Source organism: Homo sapiens, chromosome 1 (genome assembly GCF_000001405.40).
Source record: "Homo sapiens chromosome 1, GRCh38.p14 Primary Assembly".
Taxonomy (NCBI): Eukaryota; Metazoa; Chordata; class Mammalia; order Primates; family Hominidae; genus Homo; species Homo sapiens.
In genome coordinates, this window is record NC_000001.11 from 223865482 (window position 1) to 223883677 (window position 18196).

An 18196-nucleotide genomic window follows, 5' to 3' on the forward strand; every position below is an offset into this window, starting at 1 on the left:
TTTCTCCACAGCCTTGCCAACATCTGTTGTTTCCTGACGTAGAATCGCCATTCTAACTGGCATGAGATGGTATCTCATTGTGGTTTTGACTGGCATTTCTCTAATGATCAGTGATGATGAGCTTTTTTTCATATGTTTGTTGGCTGCATAAATGTCTTCTTTTGAGAAGTGTCTGTTCATATTCTTCACCCACTTTTCAATGCAGTTTTTGTTTTTTTCTTGTAAATTTGTTTAAGTTCCTTGTAGATTCTGGATATTAGACCTTTGTCAGATGGGTAGATTGCAAAAATTTTCTCCCATTCTGTAGGTTGCCTGTTCACTCTGATGATAGTTTCTTTTGCTGTCCAGAGGCTCTTTAGTTCAATTAGATCCCATTTGTCAATTTTGGCTTTTGTTGCGATTGCTTTTGGTGTTTTAGTCATGAAGTCTTTGCCCGTGCCTATGTCCTGAATGGTATTGCCTAGGTTTTCTTCTAGAGTTTTTTATGGTTTCAGGTTTTACATTTAAGTCTTTAATCCATCTTGAGTTAATTTTTGTATAAGGTGTAAGGAAGGGGTCCAGTTTCTGTTTTCTGCATATGGCTAGCCAGTTTTCCCAGCACCATTTATGAAATAGCGAATCTTTTCCCCATTGCTTGTTTTTGTTAGGTTTATCAAACAGCAGATGGTTATAGATGTGTGGTGTTATTTCTGGGGTCTTGGTTCTGTTCCGTTAGTCCATATATCTGTTTTGGTACTAGTACCGTACTGTTTTGGTTACTGTAGCCTTGTAGTATAGTTTGAAGTCAGGTAGCATGATGCCTCCAGCTTTGTTCTTTTTGCTTAGGATTGTCTTGGCTATACGGGCTCTTTTTTTGTTCCATATGAAATTTAAAGTAGTTTCTTTTCTAATTCTGTGAAGAAAGTCAATGGTGGCTTGATGGGAACAGCATTGAATCTATAAATTACTTTGGGTAGTATGGCCATTTTCACAATATTGATTCTTCCTATCCATGAGCATGGAATTTTTTTTCCATTTGTTTTTGTCATCTCTTATTTCCTTGAGCAGTGGTTTGTAGTTCTCCTTGAAGAGGTCCTTCACATCCCTTGTAAGTTGTATTCCTAGGTATTTTATTCCTTTGTAGCAATTGTGAATGGGAATTCACTCATGATTTGGCTCTCTGCTTGTCTATTATTAGTGTATAGGAATGCTTGTGATTTTTGCACATTCATTTTGTATCCTAAGACTTTGCAGAAGTTGCTTATCAGCTTAAGTTTTTGGGCTCAGACAATGGGATTTCTAAATATACAATTATGCCATCTGCAAACAGAGACTATTTGACTTCCTTTCTTCCTATTTGAATACCCCTTATTTATTTATCTTGCCTGATGGCCCTGGCCAGAACTTCTAATACTATGCTGAATAGGTGTGGTGAGAGAGGGCATCCTTGTCTTGTGCCGGTTTTCAAAGGGAAAGCTTCCAGCTTTTGCCCACTCAGTATGATATTGGCTATGGGTTTGTTATAAATAGCTCTTATTATTTTGAGATATGTTCCATCGATACCTAGTTTATTGAGAGTTTTTTGCATGAAGGCATGTTGAATTTTATTGAAGGCCTTTTCTGCATCTATTGAGATAATCATGTGGTTTTTGTCATTGGTTCTGTTTAAGTGATGGATTACATTCATTGATTTGCATATGTTGAACCAGCCTTGCATCCCAGGGATGAAGCCGACTTGATCATGGTGGATAAGCTTTGGATGTGCTGCTGGATTTGGTTTGCCAGTATTTTATTGAGGATTTTTGCATTGATGTTCATCAGGGATATTGGCCTGAAATTTTGTGGAGTTTTTTTGGTGTGTCTGTGCCAGGTTTTGGTATCAGGATGATGCTGGCCTCATAAAGTGAATTAGGGAGGAGTCTTTCTTTTTCTATTGTTGGGAATAGTTTCAGAAGGAATGGTACCAGCTCCTCTTTGTACCTCTGGTAGAATTCGGCTATGAATCCTTCTGGTCCTGGGCTTTTTTTGGTTGGTAGGCTATTAATTTCTTTCTCAATTTCAGAACTTGTTATTGGTCTATTCAGGGATTCAACTTCTTCCTGGTTTAGTCTTGGGAGGGTGTATGTGTTCAGCAATTTATCTATTTCTTCTAGATTTTCTAGTTTATTTGCATAGAGGTGTTTATAGTATTCTCTGACGGTGGTTTGTATTTCTGTGGGATCAGTGGTGATATGCCCTTTATCATTTTTTATTGTGTCTATTTGATTCTTCTCTCTTTTCTTCTTTATTAGTGTAGCTAGCGGTCTATTTTGTTAATTTTTTCAAAAAACCAGCTCCTGGATTCATTGATTTTTTGAAGGGTTTTTCATGTCTCTATCTCCTTCAGTTCTGCTCTGATCTTAGTTATTTCTTGTCTCCTGCTAGCTTTTGAATTTGTTTGCTCTTGCTTCTCTAGTTCTTTTTTTTTTTTTTTTTAGACAAAGTATCACTCTGTCCCAGGCTGGAGTGCAATGGTGGGATCTCGGCTCACTGCAGCCTCCGCCTCCCAGGTTCAAGCTATTCTCCTGCCTCAGCCTCCCAAATAGCTGGGACTGCAGTCACCCGCCATCACGCCCAACTAATTTTTGTATTTTTAGTAGAGACGGGATTTCACCATGTTGGCCAGGCTGGCCTTGAACTCCTGACCTCGTGATCCACCCGCCTCAGCCTCCCAAAGTGCTGGGATTACAGGTGTGAGCCACCGCGCCTGGCCGCTTCTCTAGTTCTTTTAATTGTGATGTTAGGGTGTCAATTTCAGATCTTTCCAGCTTCCCAATGTGGGCATTTAGTGCTGTAAATTTCCCTCTAAATTCTGCTTTAGCTGTGTCCCAGAGATTCTGGTACATTGTCTCTTTGTTCTCATTGGTCTCAAAGAACTTCTTTATTTCTTCCTTCATTTCGTTATTTACCCAGAAGCCATTCAGGAGCAGGTTGTTCAATTTCCATGTAGTTGTGAGGTTTTGAGTGAGTTTCTTAATCCTAAATTCGAATTTGATTGCACTATGGTCTGACAGACTGCTATGATTTCCATTCTTTTGCATTTGCTGAGGAGTCTTTTACTTCCAAGTATGTGGCCAGTTTAAGAATAAGTGCCATGTGGCACTGAGAAGAATGTTTATTCTGTTGATTTGGGGTGGAGAGTTCTGTAGACATCTATTAGGTCCACAGCTGAGTTCAAGTCCTGAATATCCTTGTAATTTTCTGTCTCATTGATCTGTCTAATATTGACAGCGAGGTGTTAAAATCCCCCACTATTATTGTGTGGGAGCCTAAGTCTCTTTGTAGGTCTCTAAGAACTTGTTTTACAAATCTGGGTGCTCCTGTATTGGATGCATATATATTTAGGATGGTTAGCTCTTCTTGTTGCATTGATTCCTTTAACATTATGTGATGCCCTTCTTTGTCTTTTTTGATCTTTGTTGGTTTAACGTCTGTTTTATTAGAGACTAGGATTGCAACCTACTTGCAAGCAAAAAAAAAAAATGCTTTTTTTTGCTTTCCATTTGCTTGGTAAATATTCCTTCATCCCTTTTTTTTGAGCCTATGTGTGTCTTTGAACATAAGATGGGTCTCTTGAATATAGCACACTGGTGGGTCTTGACTTTTTATCCAATTTGCCAGTCTGTGTCTTTTAATTGGGGCATTTAGCCCATTTACATTTAAGGTCAATATTGTTATGTGTGAATTTGATGCTGTCATCATGATGCTAGCTGATTATTTTGCACATTAGTAGATGCAGTTCCTTCATAGTGTCAATAATCTTGTATTTCGGTGTGTTTTTGCAGTGGCTGTTACCAGTTTTTCCTTTCCATATTTAGTGCTTCCTTCAGGACCTCTTGTAAGGCAGGCCTGGTGGTGACAAAATCCCTCAGCATTTGCTTGTCTGGAAAGGGTTTTATTTCTCCTTTGCTTTTGAAGCTTAGTTTGGCTGGATATGAAATTCTGGGTTGAAAAATTCTTTTCTTTAAGAATGTTGAATTTTGGCCCCTACTCTCTTCTGGCTTGTAGGGTTTCTGCAGAGAGATCCGCTGTTAGTCTGATGGGCTTCCCTTTGTAGGTGACCCGACCTTTCTCTCTGGCTGCCCTTAACACTTTTTCCTTCATTTCAACCTTGGAGAATCTGATGATTATGTGCCTTGGGGTTGATCTTCTCGAGGAGTATCTTTAGTGGTGTTCTCTGTATTTCCTGAATTTGAATGTTGGCACATCTCACTAGGTTGGGGAAGTTCTCCTGGATAATATCACAATTGATTCCATTCTCCCTGTCGCTTTCAGGTACACCAATCAATCATAGGTTTGGTCTTTTCACATAGTACCATATTTCTTGAAGGCTTTGTTCATTCCTTTTCATTCTTTTTTCTCTAATCTTGTCTTAACACTTTTTTTCAGCATGGTGATCTTCAATCTCTGATATCCTTTCTTCCGCTTGATTGATTCAGCTATTGATACTTCTGTATGCTTCCTGAAGTTATTGTGCTGTGTTTTTCTTTTTTTTCGGCTCCATCAGGTCATTTATGTTCCTGTCTAAACTGGTTATTCTAGTTAGCAGTCCCTGTAACCTTTTATTAGGGTTCTTAGCTTCCTTGCATTGGGTTAGAACATGCTCCTTTAGCTCAGAGGAGTTTGTTATCACCCACCTTCTGAAGCCTGCCTCTGTCAGTTTGTCAATCTTATTCTCCATCCAGTTTTGTGTCCTTGCTGGAGAGGCATTCTGGTTTTTGGAATTTTCAGCATTTTTGCGCTGATTTTTCCTCATCTTCATGGATTTACCTACCTTCGATCTTTGAGGCTGATGACCTTTGGATGGGGCTTTTGGGTGGGTGTCCTTTTTGTTGATGTTGTTGTTGCTTTCTGTGTGTTAGCTTTTCTTCTAATAGTCAGGCCTCTCTTCTGCAGGTCTGCTGCAGTTTGCTGGAGGTCCACTCCAGACCCTGTTTGCCTGGATATCACCAGTGAAGGCTGCAGAACAGCAAAGATTGCTGCCTGCTCCTTCCTCTGGAAGCTTTGTCCCAGAGGGGCACCGGCCTGATGCCAGCCAGAGCTCTCCTGTATGAGGCGTCTGTTGACCCCTTTTGGGAGGTTTAATGTGTAGCTTCAGCATATCTTTAACTCTCTAGTCAGCATTGGGGTCAGGGGCCCACTTGAGGAGTCAGTCTGTCCCTTAGCAGAGCTGGTGTGCTATGCTGGGACAATCCCCCTTGTCAGGATCAGCTGCTGTCTTCAGAGCCAGCAGGCAGGAAAGATTAAGTCTGCTGAAGCTATGCCCACAGCAGCCCCTCCCCCCAGGTGCTCTGTCCCAGGGAGATGAGCATTTTATCTGTAAGCCCCTGACTAGGGCTGCTGCATTTCCTTCAGAGATGCCCTGCCCAGTGAGGAGAAATCTAGATAAGCACTCTGGCCACAGCCGCTTTGCCACACTGTGGTGAATTCCGCCCAGTCCATACCTCTCAGTCTCCTTAGCACTGTCAGGGGAGAACCGCCTACGAAAGCCTCAGTAATGGCAGATGCCCCTCCTCCCCCCAAGCTCAATCGTCCTAGATCGATCAGACTGCTGTGCTGGCAGCAAGAATTTCAAGCCAGTGGTTCTTAGCTTGCTGGGCTCTGTGGGAGTGGGACCTGCTGAGTGAAACCACTTGGCTCCCTGGCTTCAGCTCGCTTTCCAAGGGAATGAACGGTTCTGTCTCGCTGGGGTTCCAGGTGCTACTAGGGTACGAAAAAACTCCTGCAGCTAGCTGGGTGTCTGCCCAAACAGCCACTTAGTTTTGTGCTTGAAACTCAGGGCCCTGGTGGTGTAGGCTCACCAGGAAATCTCCTGATCTGCTGATTGCAAAATCCATGAGAAAAGTGTAGTACCCGGGCGGGTAGCACAGTCCCTCATGGCTTCCCCTGGCTGCGGGAGGGAGGTCCCCTGGCTTCTTGCACTTCCTGGGTAAAGCAATGCCTGCTTCTGCTTCTGCTCGTTCTCCATGGGTTGCACCCACTGCCTAACCAGTCCCAGTGAGATGAACTGGGTACCTCAGTTGGAAATGCAGAAATCACCCCCTTCTGCATTGGTCTCACTGGGAGCTGCAGACTGGAGTTGTTTCTGTTTGGCCTTCTTGGCCCCTCCCCTTCATTTTCTTAAGAGTGTCATTCAAAGAGGAAACATTCTAATTTTGATGAAGTTAAATTTATCATTTTTTTCTTTTATGTGTTGTGCTTTTTGCATCCTAAGAAATCTTGCTTAACCCAAGGTTTCATTTTCTCCCATGTTTGCTTCTAGCACTTTTATATTACAATTTTAGGTCCATGATCCATTTTTAATTATTTTGTGTATGTCTGGTATGGTTGACTGTGTCCCCACCCAAATCTCATCTTGAATTATAGTTCCCGTAATCCCCATGTGTCATGGAAGGGACCAGGTGGGGATAACTGAATCATGGGGCAGGTTTTTCCAATGCTGTTCTCATAATAGTGAATATGTCTCACGAGATTTGATGGTTTTATAAAGGGCAATTCCCCTGCACATGCTCTCGTGCCTGTCGCCATGACTTTGCTCCTCATTCGCCTTCAGCCATGATTGTGAGGCCTCCCCAGTCATGTGGAACTGTGAGTCAATTAAACTTCTTTCCTTTGTAAATTACCCAGTCTTGGGTACGTCTTTATTAGCAGTGTGAGAACAGACTAATACAATGTTGTGAAGTAAGAGCCAAAGTTCTTTTTTTTTTTTCTATGTGGATATCAGTTTTCCCAGGACAATTTGTGGCATAGGCGATCCTTTCCCTGTTTAATTATCTTGGCCCTTTTGTCAAAAACCAATCGACTATATATACGCAGGTTTGTTCCTTGGCTCTCCACCCAGTCCCACTGATTTATATGTCTCACGATATCCATGCCACCTTTCCCCTACAAAGCGTTCTCTCCTCTTCAGTACCCTGTCCCACAGGTTTAAACCTTATCAGCAGCCCTAATCTCTAATCTCTGCCTCCTTAGGTCAGAGGAGTCCCCTCATGCTCTTTTTTCTCTCTACCTAGTGATGTCATAGTCTAGCAATTGCTCCCAGATAGAGAGCCAGGGCAAATGGGGCTTACCCCAGGCATTTTCTTTTCCTCAAGGATCACAATCCTGGACTGTCTTGTTTCATGCCTGAAAACAGTTGCCTCATATGTTTCATCTAGTTTTATGTTTGTTTATGGCAGGAAGCCTAGTCCAGTGCCAGTTATTGCATCTTGACCAGAATTAGAAGTTACAGCTTTGGCTCCTAACCATAAGTTGTAGTGCCTCCTAAAGCTGAATGAAACCTTGCAGGAACTCTGAGCAGCAGCAGCAGCAGCAGCAGCAGTAAGAGCAGCAGCTACAGCTTGTGAGTTCCCCGGCAGAGGCTGAAGCGTGTCACTTTTGTTAGTATGCTCAAGGCTGCAAAAATTGAAGTGGGATAGGGTATGCATTAAAAATTCTCAAGAAGGATTTAATCATCTCTTAGAATTCCATGAGGACTGGGAGAGGTTTCTTTTGGTCAGCTTATCTGCTTCTTTATATGAACACAAATGCGTAGGTGTTTACTAACTATCCGATTTCTTCCCCAAATTCAAGGCTACCAAAAGTTCTAGGTAACCATAAAAAGGGCTGTAAATCACAGCCCTTGTGATTTTGAGGTAGGGCGCAAATGCATGACACAGGTCTAAACATCCTAGCAAGGACATACATGGAACCATACATAGTATCTTCTTGGGCTTCAGGTTAACTGACAGAACTCGTTGAACCGGATAATAGGCTGGCTACTCCCAGAAGGCAAGATTGAGATGAACTGAGGCCTCATAGCTACAAATTGGTACAGTCATTTCCGGTGAGTATACATGTAGGTTTAGATAAGACAATGTTGACTATAGAGTTAAAGATGTGCTGAAGCTGCACATTAAATCAAGGGGTAAGTAAAGCCTATGAACCCAAAACTGATTGAACCTAAAAATGGTGAGCGGTTTTTGCAGATCTTGGTGGACAATGGTAAGGTAAGTGGTCCCTTTCAGATAATCCAGCAGCCTAAATCATTTTTTTTTTTAATTTAACCTTAAGAATAAGTTTCCAAAAACAAAGAAAGTACAGGGCAATAAACAAAAGGATTTTTCAACAGACTAGAATAAAACCTCTACCAAGTATGTTAGTTCTTGGGCAGCAAGACCTTTAGGACAGCAACAGATTGGTCCATCAAGAGGGCATGGTGGTTCATGCCTATAATCCCAATACTTTGGGGGGCCAAGGCAGGAGTATCGCGTGAGGCCAGGAGTTCAAGACCAGCCCAAGCGATATAGCAAGACTCCAAATCTACAAAAAAATTTTAAAACTTAGCCAGGCATGGTGGTGCATGCCTATTGTCTCAGCTGCTTAAGAGGCTGAGTCAAGAGGATCGCTCAAGTCCAGGAGTTCAAGGCTGCAGTAAGCTATAATCATTCCACTGCACTCCAGCCTGGGTGACAGAGAAAGACCCTGTCTCAAACAAAAAAAAAGAGAGAGAGAGAGATATCAAAGACCTACTGGGTCTCTGTTAACAAATGTTTCTTAGACACAAGCAGGAGAAAATTAGCTCCTTTAGGGACAACGTAAGTCCACCTCGCTGTGCCCCTGAAATAAAGCCCACTTGGTGTTCAAGAACATCAGTCCCTGAAAAGAATTAGAGTGGCTAAAATTATGGGTGCAATGTCAAACAGAACCCTACTGGAAGCCACCTCTGCCACTTAATAGCCAGGTGGTATTGGACAATGTATTTAATCTCTGGAAGCCTCTATTTCCTCATCTGTAAAATGAGGAAAACATTTACTGTGAGAACTAAAGGAGATGGTATATGTAAAATATTTGGCCAAGACCCTGGCCCATAGTAAGCATTCCATAAGGGGTAGCTGCAACTATTTTTACACAGTATTAGAGTCAGACACCTCCCCACTCAGGACTACTTGCTGTTGGTATTGATTAGTAAAGCAAAGTCTTTGGGAAAGTCTGAATCTCTCTGTCCAGAGTCCTCGTCTCCCTTGGCTCTGAAGCCCAGGTCTCCACGGTATTCTTTAGATTCTTCATTCCCCAAGCAAAGTAGCTGTCCAGTCTTACCCCAAACAGTCTGCTATGGTGTGAATCTTCCCCAAAAATTTATATGTTGAAACTTAATTGCCAATGTGATACTATTAAGTGAGGCCCTGGCTGGGTGTGGTGGCTCACACCTGTAATCCCAGCACTTTGGGAGGCTGAGGCAGGCGGATCACCTGAGGTCAGGAGTTCAAGACCAGTCTGGCCAACATGGTGAAACCCCATCTCTACAAAAATACAAAAATTATCTGGGCATGAGGTGGGTGCCTGTAATCCCAGCTACACAGGAGGCTGAAGCCGGAGAATTGCCTGAACCCAGGAGGCGGAGGTTGCAGTGAGCCGAGATGGCGCCATTGCACTCCAGCCTCAGTGACAAGAGCAAAACTCCATCTCAAAAAAAAAAAAAAAAAGAAAGAAAAGAAGTGAGGCCTTTAAGAGGTGACTAAGTCATGAATGGGATCAGCAACCTCATGTAAGGGATAGTGGGAACTAGCGTTTGCCCCTTTTGCCCTTCTGCTTTCTACCATGTGAGGACACAGTGCTTCTCCTCTCCAGAGGATGCGGCAGCAACACGGCATCTTGGAAGCAGAGAGACTGGGTCCTCACCAGACAGTGAATCTGCCAGTGCCTTCATCTTGGACTTCCCAGCCTCTAGAACTATGAGAAATAAATTTCTGTTGTTTATAAGCTACTCAGTCTCAGTCTCAGTCTCAGGTATTTTGTTATAGCAGCACAGACTAAGAATCGTTTTTTTTTTCTTTACAAGATGGAGTCTTGCTCTGTCGCCCAGGCTGGAGTGCAGAGGTGTGATCTCAACTTACTACAACCTCTGCCTCCCAGGTTCAAGTGATTCTTGTGCCTCAGCCTTCCAAGTAGCTGGGATTACAGGCACGCACCACCATGCCCAGCTAATTTTTGTATTTTTAGTAGAGATGGGGTTTCATCATGCTGGCCAGGCTGGTTTCAAACCCCTGACCTCAGGTGATCCACCTGCCTCAGCCTCCCAAAGTGCTGGGATTACAAGCATGAGCCACAGTGCCCGGCTAGAATTTTTAATTCAAGTCATTCCCTCACAGGTCTATGCCTTCTCAAAACCCTACATGACTCTTTCTAATCCTCAGTTTTGTCTTTAAGTGGGGATAATAATGCCTGTTTTTCCTACTTCACAGGATTGCTATGGGGATCAGATATTATTATATAGGTGAAGTGAAACCTCACAGAGAAATGGGAGACTTAAGTCAAAATGATTGACTCAACTCAAGAAGCAACATCTGAAGAGATGCCGGTGCCTTGACCTTGGACTTCCCAGCCTCTAGAACTATGAGAAATAAATTTCTCTTGTTTGTAAACTATTCAGTCTCAGTCTTGGCTATTTTGTTATAGCAGCACAAACAAACTAAGAATCTTTACCCCTTTTGAATCTGGGGAGATGCTGGTTCTTGAGTTGAGTCAACCATTTTAGAAAATAATAAAAGCATGTCTTTCAGGAAAGAGCAAGCAAGTGAGCACAATTCAGGCCACCCACCACAGCACTGGAAGAGGAAAAGAAAAGACAACCTAGCTACCAACTACCAAAATGGTCCAAGACCAAGATAGGGTGCATAGCATGTGGTCAACTCTGTATCTAGAACCCAAGCAGTTAACTACAAGGCTGGAAAATGAGATCATCCAGCTGTTCACTCAGTGTGCTTCAGAGGAGAGGTGCTTTCCACAACTGAAGGGCTGCAAAGAGGGCAGGTAGAATCTCTGGGTGTAGGTGTTCTAACTGCAAACAAAATGCCACCCAGATGCCTCAAGGAGCAGTAGCAGCACGATGTACTGAAATAATCTAGGGGCAACTAGGGCACCCATGGAGTGGCTGCTAAGAAGCATGTCAGGATGTGTACAAACTGGAGGTTTGTAAGACAGCCCCAGGGAATAGCAGGCTTATTATTTCGTCTCAGGTATTACATATGTGAAATATGTATATGTTTTTGCATATGCTACATATGCAGATATGTTTTTGCATATGCAAATATGCAGATATGTTTTGCACATGCAAATATGCAGATATGTTTTGCACATGCAAATATGCAGATATGTTTTGCACATGCAAATATGCAGATGTGTTTTGCACATGCAAATATGCAGATATGTTTTGCATATGCTACATATGCAGATATGTTTTGCATATGCTACGTATGCAGACGTTTTGCATATGCTACTTATGCAGATATGTTTTGCATGTGCTACGTATGCAGATATGTTTTGCATGTGCTACGTATGCAGATATGTTTTGCACATGCAAATATGCCAACGTGGCAAAATGTATACATTTATACATATAGTTGCAATAAGGTTATGAAAAATTGAATTAACAAGTTAAAACATTTGCAAAAATAAACTTCCAGTGGATTAAAAAATGACGTTTTTATATAATTATGAATTCTATAAAGGCATTACTTTTTACATTTTAACATCATTGTTTTGTAAATCTGAATAACGTTTTTGCCAATGACAAAGTATACATGGTTACTCAACTTTCCCAGTGAGCCTGTTTCTATCATTATCATGTGCACAAAAATTGTCACCATGTGTAACTTGGAGGTGAAATTATGTACCCCTCTTCTGAGTGTTTGAATTTTTTTTTTTAAGTCAGAAAGATCTCTTCATGAGAATTGTTTCAAAAAAAAAAGATCATATGAAGCTGGGTGTAGTAGCTCAAGCCTGTAATCCCAGCACTTTGGGAGGCCACGGTGTGTGTATCGCTTGAGCCCACGAGTTTGAGACCAGCCTGGGTAACATGGTAAAACCTCGTCTCTACAAAAAATACAAAAATTAGCCAGGCATGGTGGTGGGTGCCTATAGTCCCAGGTACTCAGGAGGCTGAATTGGGAGGATCACTTGAGCCTGGGAGGTCAAGGCTGCAGTGGGCTAAGATGGCACCACTAAACTCCCACTTGAGACTCTGTCTTAAAAATAAATAAATAAATAAAGACGATATGCTTAACCAATAGGAGTAAGTCATTGAATAGTTAATGATATTATGAGATTACTGTAAATGTAAGAGTAATAATAATATTGTGGTTATTCTTTAAGTTCTCTTCTAGTTATACATACAGAACTATATATGGGTAAAATTATATGAGATCTGGGATTTGCTTCAAAATAAAAAAGGATGGAAGAAGTAGATGAGGGTGTAAATGAAATAAGATTGGTCTGGAGTTGATAATTGTCGAAGATGAGAAATGGCATAAAGGGGTTCATTATATTATTCTGTTTTTGTATAGAGTTTCCATTTTTTCAAAATAAAATGATTTTTAAAAGTAAGGACATGTCTTCAAATATTTAAGGAGCCACAGCATAGAAAAGGGCTTAGATTCAATGAGTAGAAATCGCAGGAGGAAGTTTGGTTGAGTTAACCAAGAAGGAAATGTCATGCCTTGAGAGGTCGTCACTAGGAAGTGATGACGACTTAATGGTTCTAGGCAATAATCTAGGCAATTGATGGCAGCTAACATCACAGACAGGTAACCAGACTTTATATGCCTCCTGACAGAAGTATGCAACATGGTCTATGAAGTGCTATTTTAAAAATAGATTCATTGTAAAAAAAAAATGACTTTATTGAGTATATTAGTTTGCTGCTGTAGCAAATGTCCATAAACTTAATGGCTTCAGACAACACAAATCTATTATTTTGCAGTTTTGTGGATCAGAAGCCCAGTATGGGTTTCACTGGACTAAAATTAAGGTGTCAGCACGCTATACCCTTTTCTGGAAGTTCTAAGGGAGAATCCATTTCTTTGCTGCTGGCAGAATTCAATTCCTTGTAGATGCAGAGCCAACATCCCCATTTTCTTGCTGATTGTAACATGAGGGCTGTTCCCACCTTCTAGAAGCTGTTTTTTTCCTTCACTCACAGCCTCTACCTTCAAAGTCAACTCAAATCCCTCTCCAGTGGCATCCTTACTGTCAACTTTTCTGCCTCCTCTTCCACTTTTAAGGGCACTTGTGATTACACTGGGCCCACCCAGATAATCCAGGATAATCTCTCTATTTTAAGGTTAGCTGATTAACAAACTTAATTCTATCTGTAACCTTAATTCCTTTTTTGCCATAGAGGGAACATATTCATTCACAGGTTCTGGGGATTAAGACTTGAACATCTTTTAGGGCCATTATTCTGCCAACCACATTGAGGTATGATTGACATATAAAAAATTGCAATATTTAAAGTGACAACTTTGACACATGTACAAGCCTGTGAAAAGATGTCACAACAATCAAGATAATGAACATGTCCATCACACCCCAAAGTTTCCTGGTGTCCATTTGTCTTAATTTATTCAGGCTGCTATAATAAAATACCTTAGATGGGATGATTTATAAACAATAGAAATTTATTACTTACAGTTCCGGAGGCTGGGAAGTCCAAAATCAAGACACCAGCAGATTTGGTGTCTGGTGGGGACTCTCTGCTTCATAGATGGCACCTTTTTGCTGTGTCCTTACATGGCAGAAGGAGTGAACAAGCTCCCTTGGGCCTCTTTTATAAGGGCATTAATCCCTTCATGAGGACAGAGCCTTCATTACCTAATCCCCTCCCAAAGACCACACCTCTTCACATTATTGCTTTGGGGATTAGGTTTCAACCTAACATTCAGCACCCTTTGAAATCTCTACCTCTTTTTCCTTCCTCCCCAACTCCATCCCCCAGGTAGCCAGCCACCATCTGATTTCTCTCATTACAGATTACCTTGCATATTCTAGAATTTTATGTAAGTGGAATCATACAGTATATACTTAGGGGAGATGACTTTTTTCACTTAACAATTATTTTGAGATTTATCTATATTTTTATGTATCTCAATATTTCATTTCTTCTTTGTTGTTATCATGATTGTTAAGTAGTATTTCATTGTCTGGATGTACCACAATTTGTTTGTCCATTAATCTCTTGATGAACCTTTGAGTTGTTCTCAGGTTTGAGCTATTTCAAATAAAGCTGTTAGGCCAGGCGCAGTGGCTCACACCCATAATCTCAGCACTTTGGGAGTCTGAGGCAAGCAGATCACTTGAGGTAAGGAGTTCAAGACCAGCCTGCCCAACATGGTGAAACCCCGTCTCTACTAAAAATACAAAAATCAGCCAGGTGTGATAGCACACACCTGTAATCCCAGCTACTTGGGAGGCTGAGGTGGGAGGATCGCTTGAACCCAGGAGGCGGAGGTTCCAGTGAGCCAAGATCGCACCATTGCACTCTAGCCTGGGTAACGAGTGAAACTCTGTCTCAAAAAAAAAACAAAAACAAAAACAAAAAAATGAATAAAGCTGTTATGAACACATTCGTGTATAGGTCTGCCTAGACACATCATGTTCTCATTTCTTTTGGGTAGATAACTAGGAGTGGTCATATAGTAGCTATACATTTAACTTTTTTAAAAGCTTTCAAACTATTTTCCAAAGTATTTGCACCATCTTATGTTCCACCAGCAGTGTATGAGAATTCCAGTTACTCCAAATTCTTGCCAACACTTGGTATGGTCAATCTTTTTTCATTACAGCCATTCTAATTAGATTACTAATTAGACAGTGATGTTTCATTGTGCTGTTAATTTGTTTTTAACATAAAAATTTAAATACATTAATGCAAGTAATTTTCATGATTAATTTCATAATTTTTTACTACTGTAATAATCATATTAGTTGATTTTATTAATTAGTTTAAATAATTAAAATCAGATCATTTACTAATGACTAATGATGAGGATCTTTTCAGGTATTTACTCGCCACCTATATATCTCCTTTGGTGAAATATATCTGTTCATATCTTTTATGCATTTTTAAAGTTGGGTTGTTTGTTTCTGTATTATTGACTTTTGAGAGTTATTTATACATTCTGGATATAAACCCTTGCCAAAAGCAATCAAACCTGAAGGATTAAGCTTCTGATCTAACTACTGGCTTATAGGAAATATAGGGGACCAAACAACAGGTTAGATCAGTGGTCCCCAAACTTTGCAGCATGAGGGACCAGTTTTATGGAAGACAATTTTTCCACAGATGCAGGCGGGGAGGAGGGATGGTTTCAGGATGAAACTATTCCACCTCAGATCATCAAGCATTAGATTCTCATACAGAGCATGCAATCTGATCCCTCACATGTGCAGTTCACAATAGGGTTCATGCTCCTATAAGAATCTAATGCTGCCACTGATCTGACAGGAGGCAGAGCTCAGGCGGTCATGCTCACTTGCCCGCCATTCACCTCTTGCTGTGCGGTCACATTCCTAATGGGCCACGGACCCGTGGGTTAGATGACACCCAGGAGACACAATTAGAAAAATCCAAAAGATGAGAAACTCTATAGGTCACATGGTCCCATTTCTTCAAAAGCACCTTGCAAAGGAAAGAGGGAGTGAGAGAAGGACATAGGAAGAGCACACAGATCAAGAGACTGTGTCTACACTTTATTTGAATCCTGATTTAAATATTAAACTATGGGGAGAGGGAGAGAGAAGAGAATTGAATTGGGGAAATGTAAACACTGACTGGATATTTGATGATAGTAAGGAATTATTGTTTTTTGTCACTGCAAGGATAATGTGAAATTTCTTCAAAATAATCAATAGCCAGCGGGAGCGAGTAGAAGTAAGGATATAGATGAAATGATGTCCATGAGCTAGTAGTTGAAGCTATGATGGATACGTGAAAGATCATGATGCATTTACTTTTGAATATATTTGAATTTTATGTTATTAAAAATTTTTTAAACAAATCAAAAAAAGTAATTATTTCATTTCACTCCAGCAGACTAGCATAGACAAGCTGAAAATCAATGAGCCAATGAGAATCCACCTAAGAAAGTCATATAAAAATAGCAAAATAAACTAAAAGAAAGCAGAAGGAAGGAAATAATAAAAAAAATACAAATTGTAAACAAATACACAAGACAGAAGAACAATAGAGTCAAACTTGGCCCCTTTGGAAACCCCAATCAAATGATGAACCTCTGATGATAATGATCAAGAATAAAAAAAGAATGTTCAAATAATCAACATTGTAAATGAAGAGGGAAACATCTTAATAGAAACTGAAGACATGAAAAATCTTTTAAAAGGATGCTTTAAACAAGTTTACGCCAATGAATTTTCCAATTTAGGTGAACTTGGCTAATTCCTAGTACAGTACAATTTACCAAGCTAATTGATGAATAATTAGAAAACCAATAGGATTCTAAGATGTACAACACCCCTACTAAGAAAAGTATAAGCCATTATTGAGAAAAATTAAGAATGATGTAATAAATGAAAGGATAAAATTGTAAGACTGAATATTTAAAATATAGTAATTTCCCCAAAATTGATCTGTATATTCAATATTATCTCAACCAAAATCCTAACAAGTATTTGTGCACGTGTATGTGCAGGCACAAGTGTGTGTGTGAACTGACAAATTGGTTCTAAAATGTATCTGGAAATACGAAGTGACACAAATAGCCAAAACAATATTTTAAAAGAAGTACAACTTTAAAATGCATATTACTAAGTGAAAAAAGCCAATATGAAAAGCCTACATACTGTATGATGCCAACTATATGACATTCTGGAAAAGGCAAAACTGTGGAGATGGTAAAAAAATCAGAGGTTGCCAGGGGTTAGGGAGGAGGGATGAATAGGTAGGGGGAAAAAAGTAAATTATTTTAAAATACATAATGACTTAGAACGTTTACTGCCCAAATACTCTCACTGAAAAATTACCAAAGGATAGAAATGAATAAGGAAGCTGGGCATGGTGGCTCAACGTCTGTAACCCCAGCACTTTGGGAGCCCAAGACCGGCGGATTACTGGAGGCCCAGGTGTTCGAGACCAGCCTGGCCAATATGGCAAAAGCTCGTCTCTACAAAAAATACAAAAATTAGCCAGATGTGGTGGCTCACGCCTGTAATCCCAGCTACTCGGGAAGCTGAGGTGGGAGCATTGCTTGAGCCCAGGAGGTCAAGGCTGCAATGAGCCATGATCACACCACTGCACTCCAGCCTGGGTGACAGAGTAAGACTCAGTCTCAAAAAAAAAAAAAAAAAAAAAAAAAAGAAAGAAGGAAGGAAGAGAATATGAAAAATAAGAATGAACAGAAATATTGGTAATAGATGATAACACAGTAATGTGACACATAATGACATTTCAATCAACAATGGACTGCAATACAACAGTGGTCCCATAAAATTGTAATGAAGCATATATAGAAATCTGACATGTGGCATTTGATATTGGCATTGCAGGTCAAGTGGGGGAAATGATCAGTATTCAGTAATAGTGCTGGGACATTTGATTTTCCATATTTAAAACTACAAATGAATTTAAAAATACCATCTAGGTTTTGTAAGTACTCTCTTTGATATTCGCCCAATGACGAAATCACCTAACAACGAATTTCTCAGAACATATCCCTGTCATTAAGTGATGCATGACCGTATAGCTTAATATAAAAATGTATTGACCACTAGTAGTCAATTAACAATAATAATAATGGGGCTGGGTGCGGTGGCTCACGCCTGTAATCCCAACACTTTGGGAGGTCAAGGCGGGTGGATCACTTGAGGTCAGGAGTTTGAGACCAGCATGGGCAACAGGGTGAAACCCTGTCTCTACTAAAAATACAAAAAAAAAAATTAGCTGGGCGAGGTGGCACACACCTGTAGTCTCAGCTGCTTGAGAGGCTGAGATATGGGAATCACCTGAACCTGGGAGGCAGAGGTTGCAGTGAGCCGAGATCATACCACTGCACTCCAGCCTGGGTGACACAGTGAGACTCTGTCTCAAAAAAAAAAAAAAAATAGTAATAATAATAATGGACTTTGTAGGTTTAAAAACAAACTGAACCAAATACCAATATCAGACTAAGTATGGGAGTGCAGTTTGGAAGGAAGTTAAAATGCACTAAATTCTTGCCTCACTCGGGAAGAGGATATAAATACTGATTAACTTTAAACTTTGTTAGGAAAAAAAGGGTATGGATGTTAAAAATTTAAGGAAACCACCAAAATATTGCACATAGAATTATAATAAGAAAACAATTTCTATTCAATAAAAGACAGAAAAAAAGAGAAAAAAGCATGAGAAAAAGAAAACACAAAATTA

General features: G+C 40.4%; 2 annotated features.

Moving 5' to 3' along the window:
- Positions 4864-5531: an enhancer, noted in NCBI's record as "H3K27ac-H3K4me1 hESC enhancer chr1:224058047-224058714 (GRCh37/hg19 assembly coordinates)". NCBI's record gives its function as "activates a minimal SCP1, AML or CMV promoter by ChIP-STARR-seq in naive H9 embryonic stem cells {active_cell/tissue: H9 hESC(naive)}" and the evidence as "EXISTENCE:reporter gene assay evidence [ECO:0000049][PMID:30033119]".
- Positions 5532-6197: an enhancer, noted in NCBI's record as "H3K27ac-H3K4me1 hESC enhancer chr1:224058715-224059380 (GRCh37/hg19 assembly coordinates)". NCBI's record gives its function as "activates a minimal SCP1, AML or CMV promoter by ChIP-STARR-seq in naive H9 embryonic stem cells {active_cell/tissue: H9 hESC(naive)}" and the evidence as "EXISTENCE:reporter gene assay evidence [ECO:0000049][PMID:30033119]".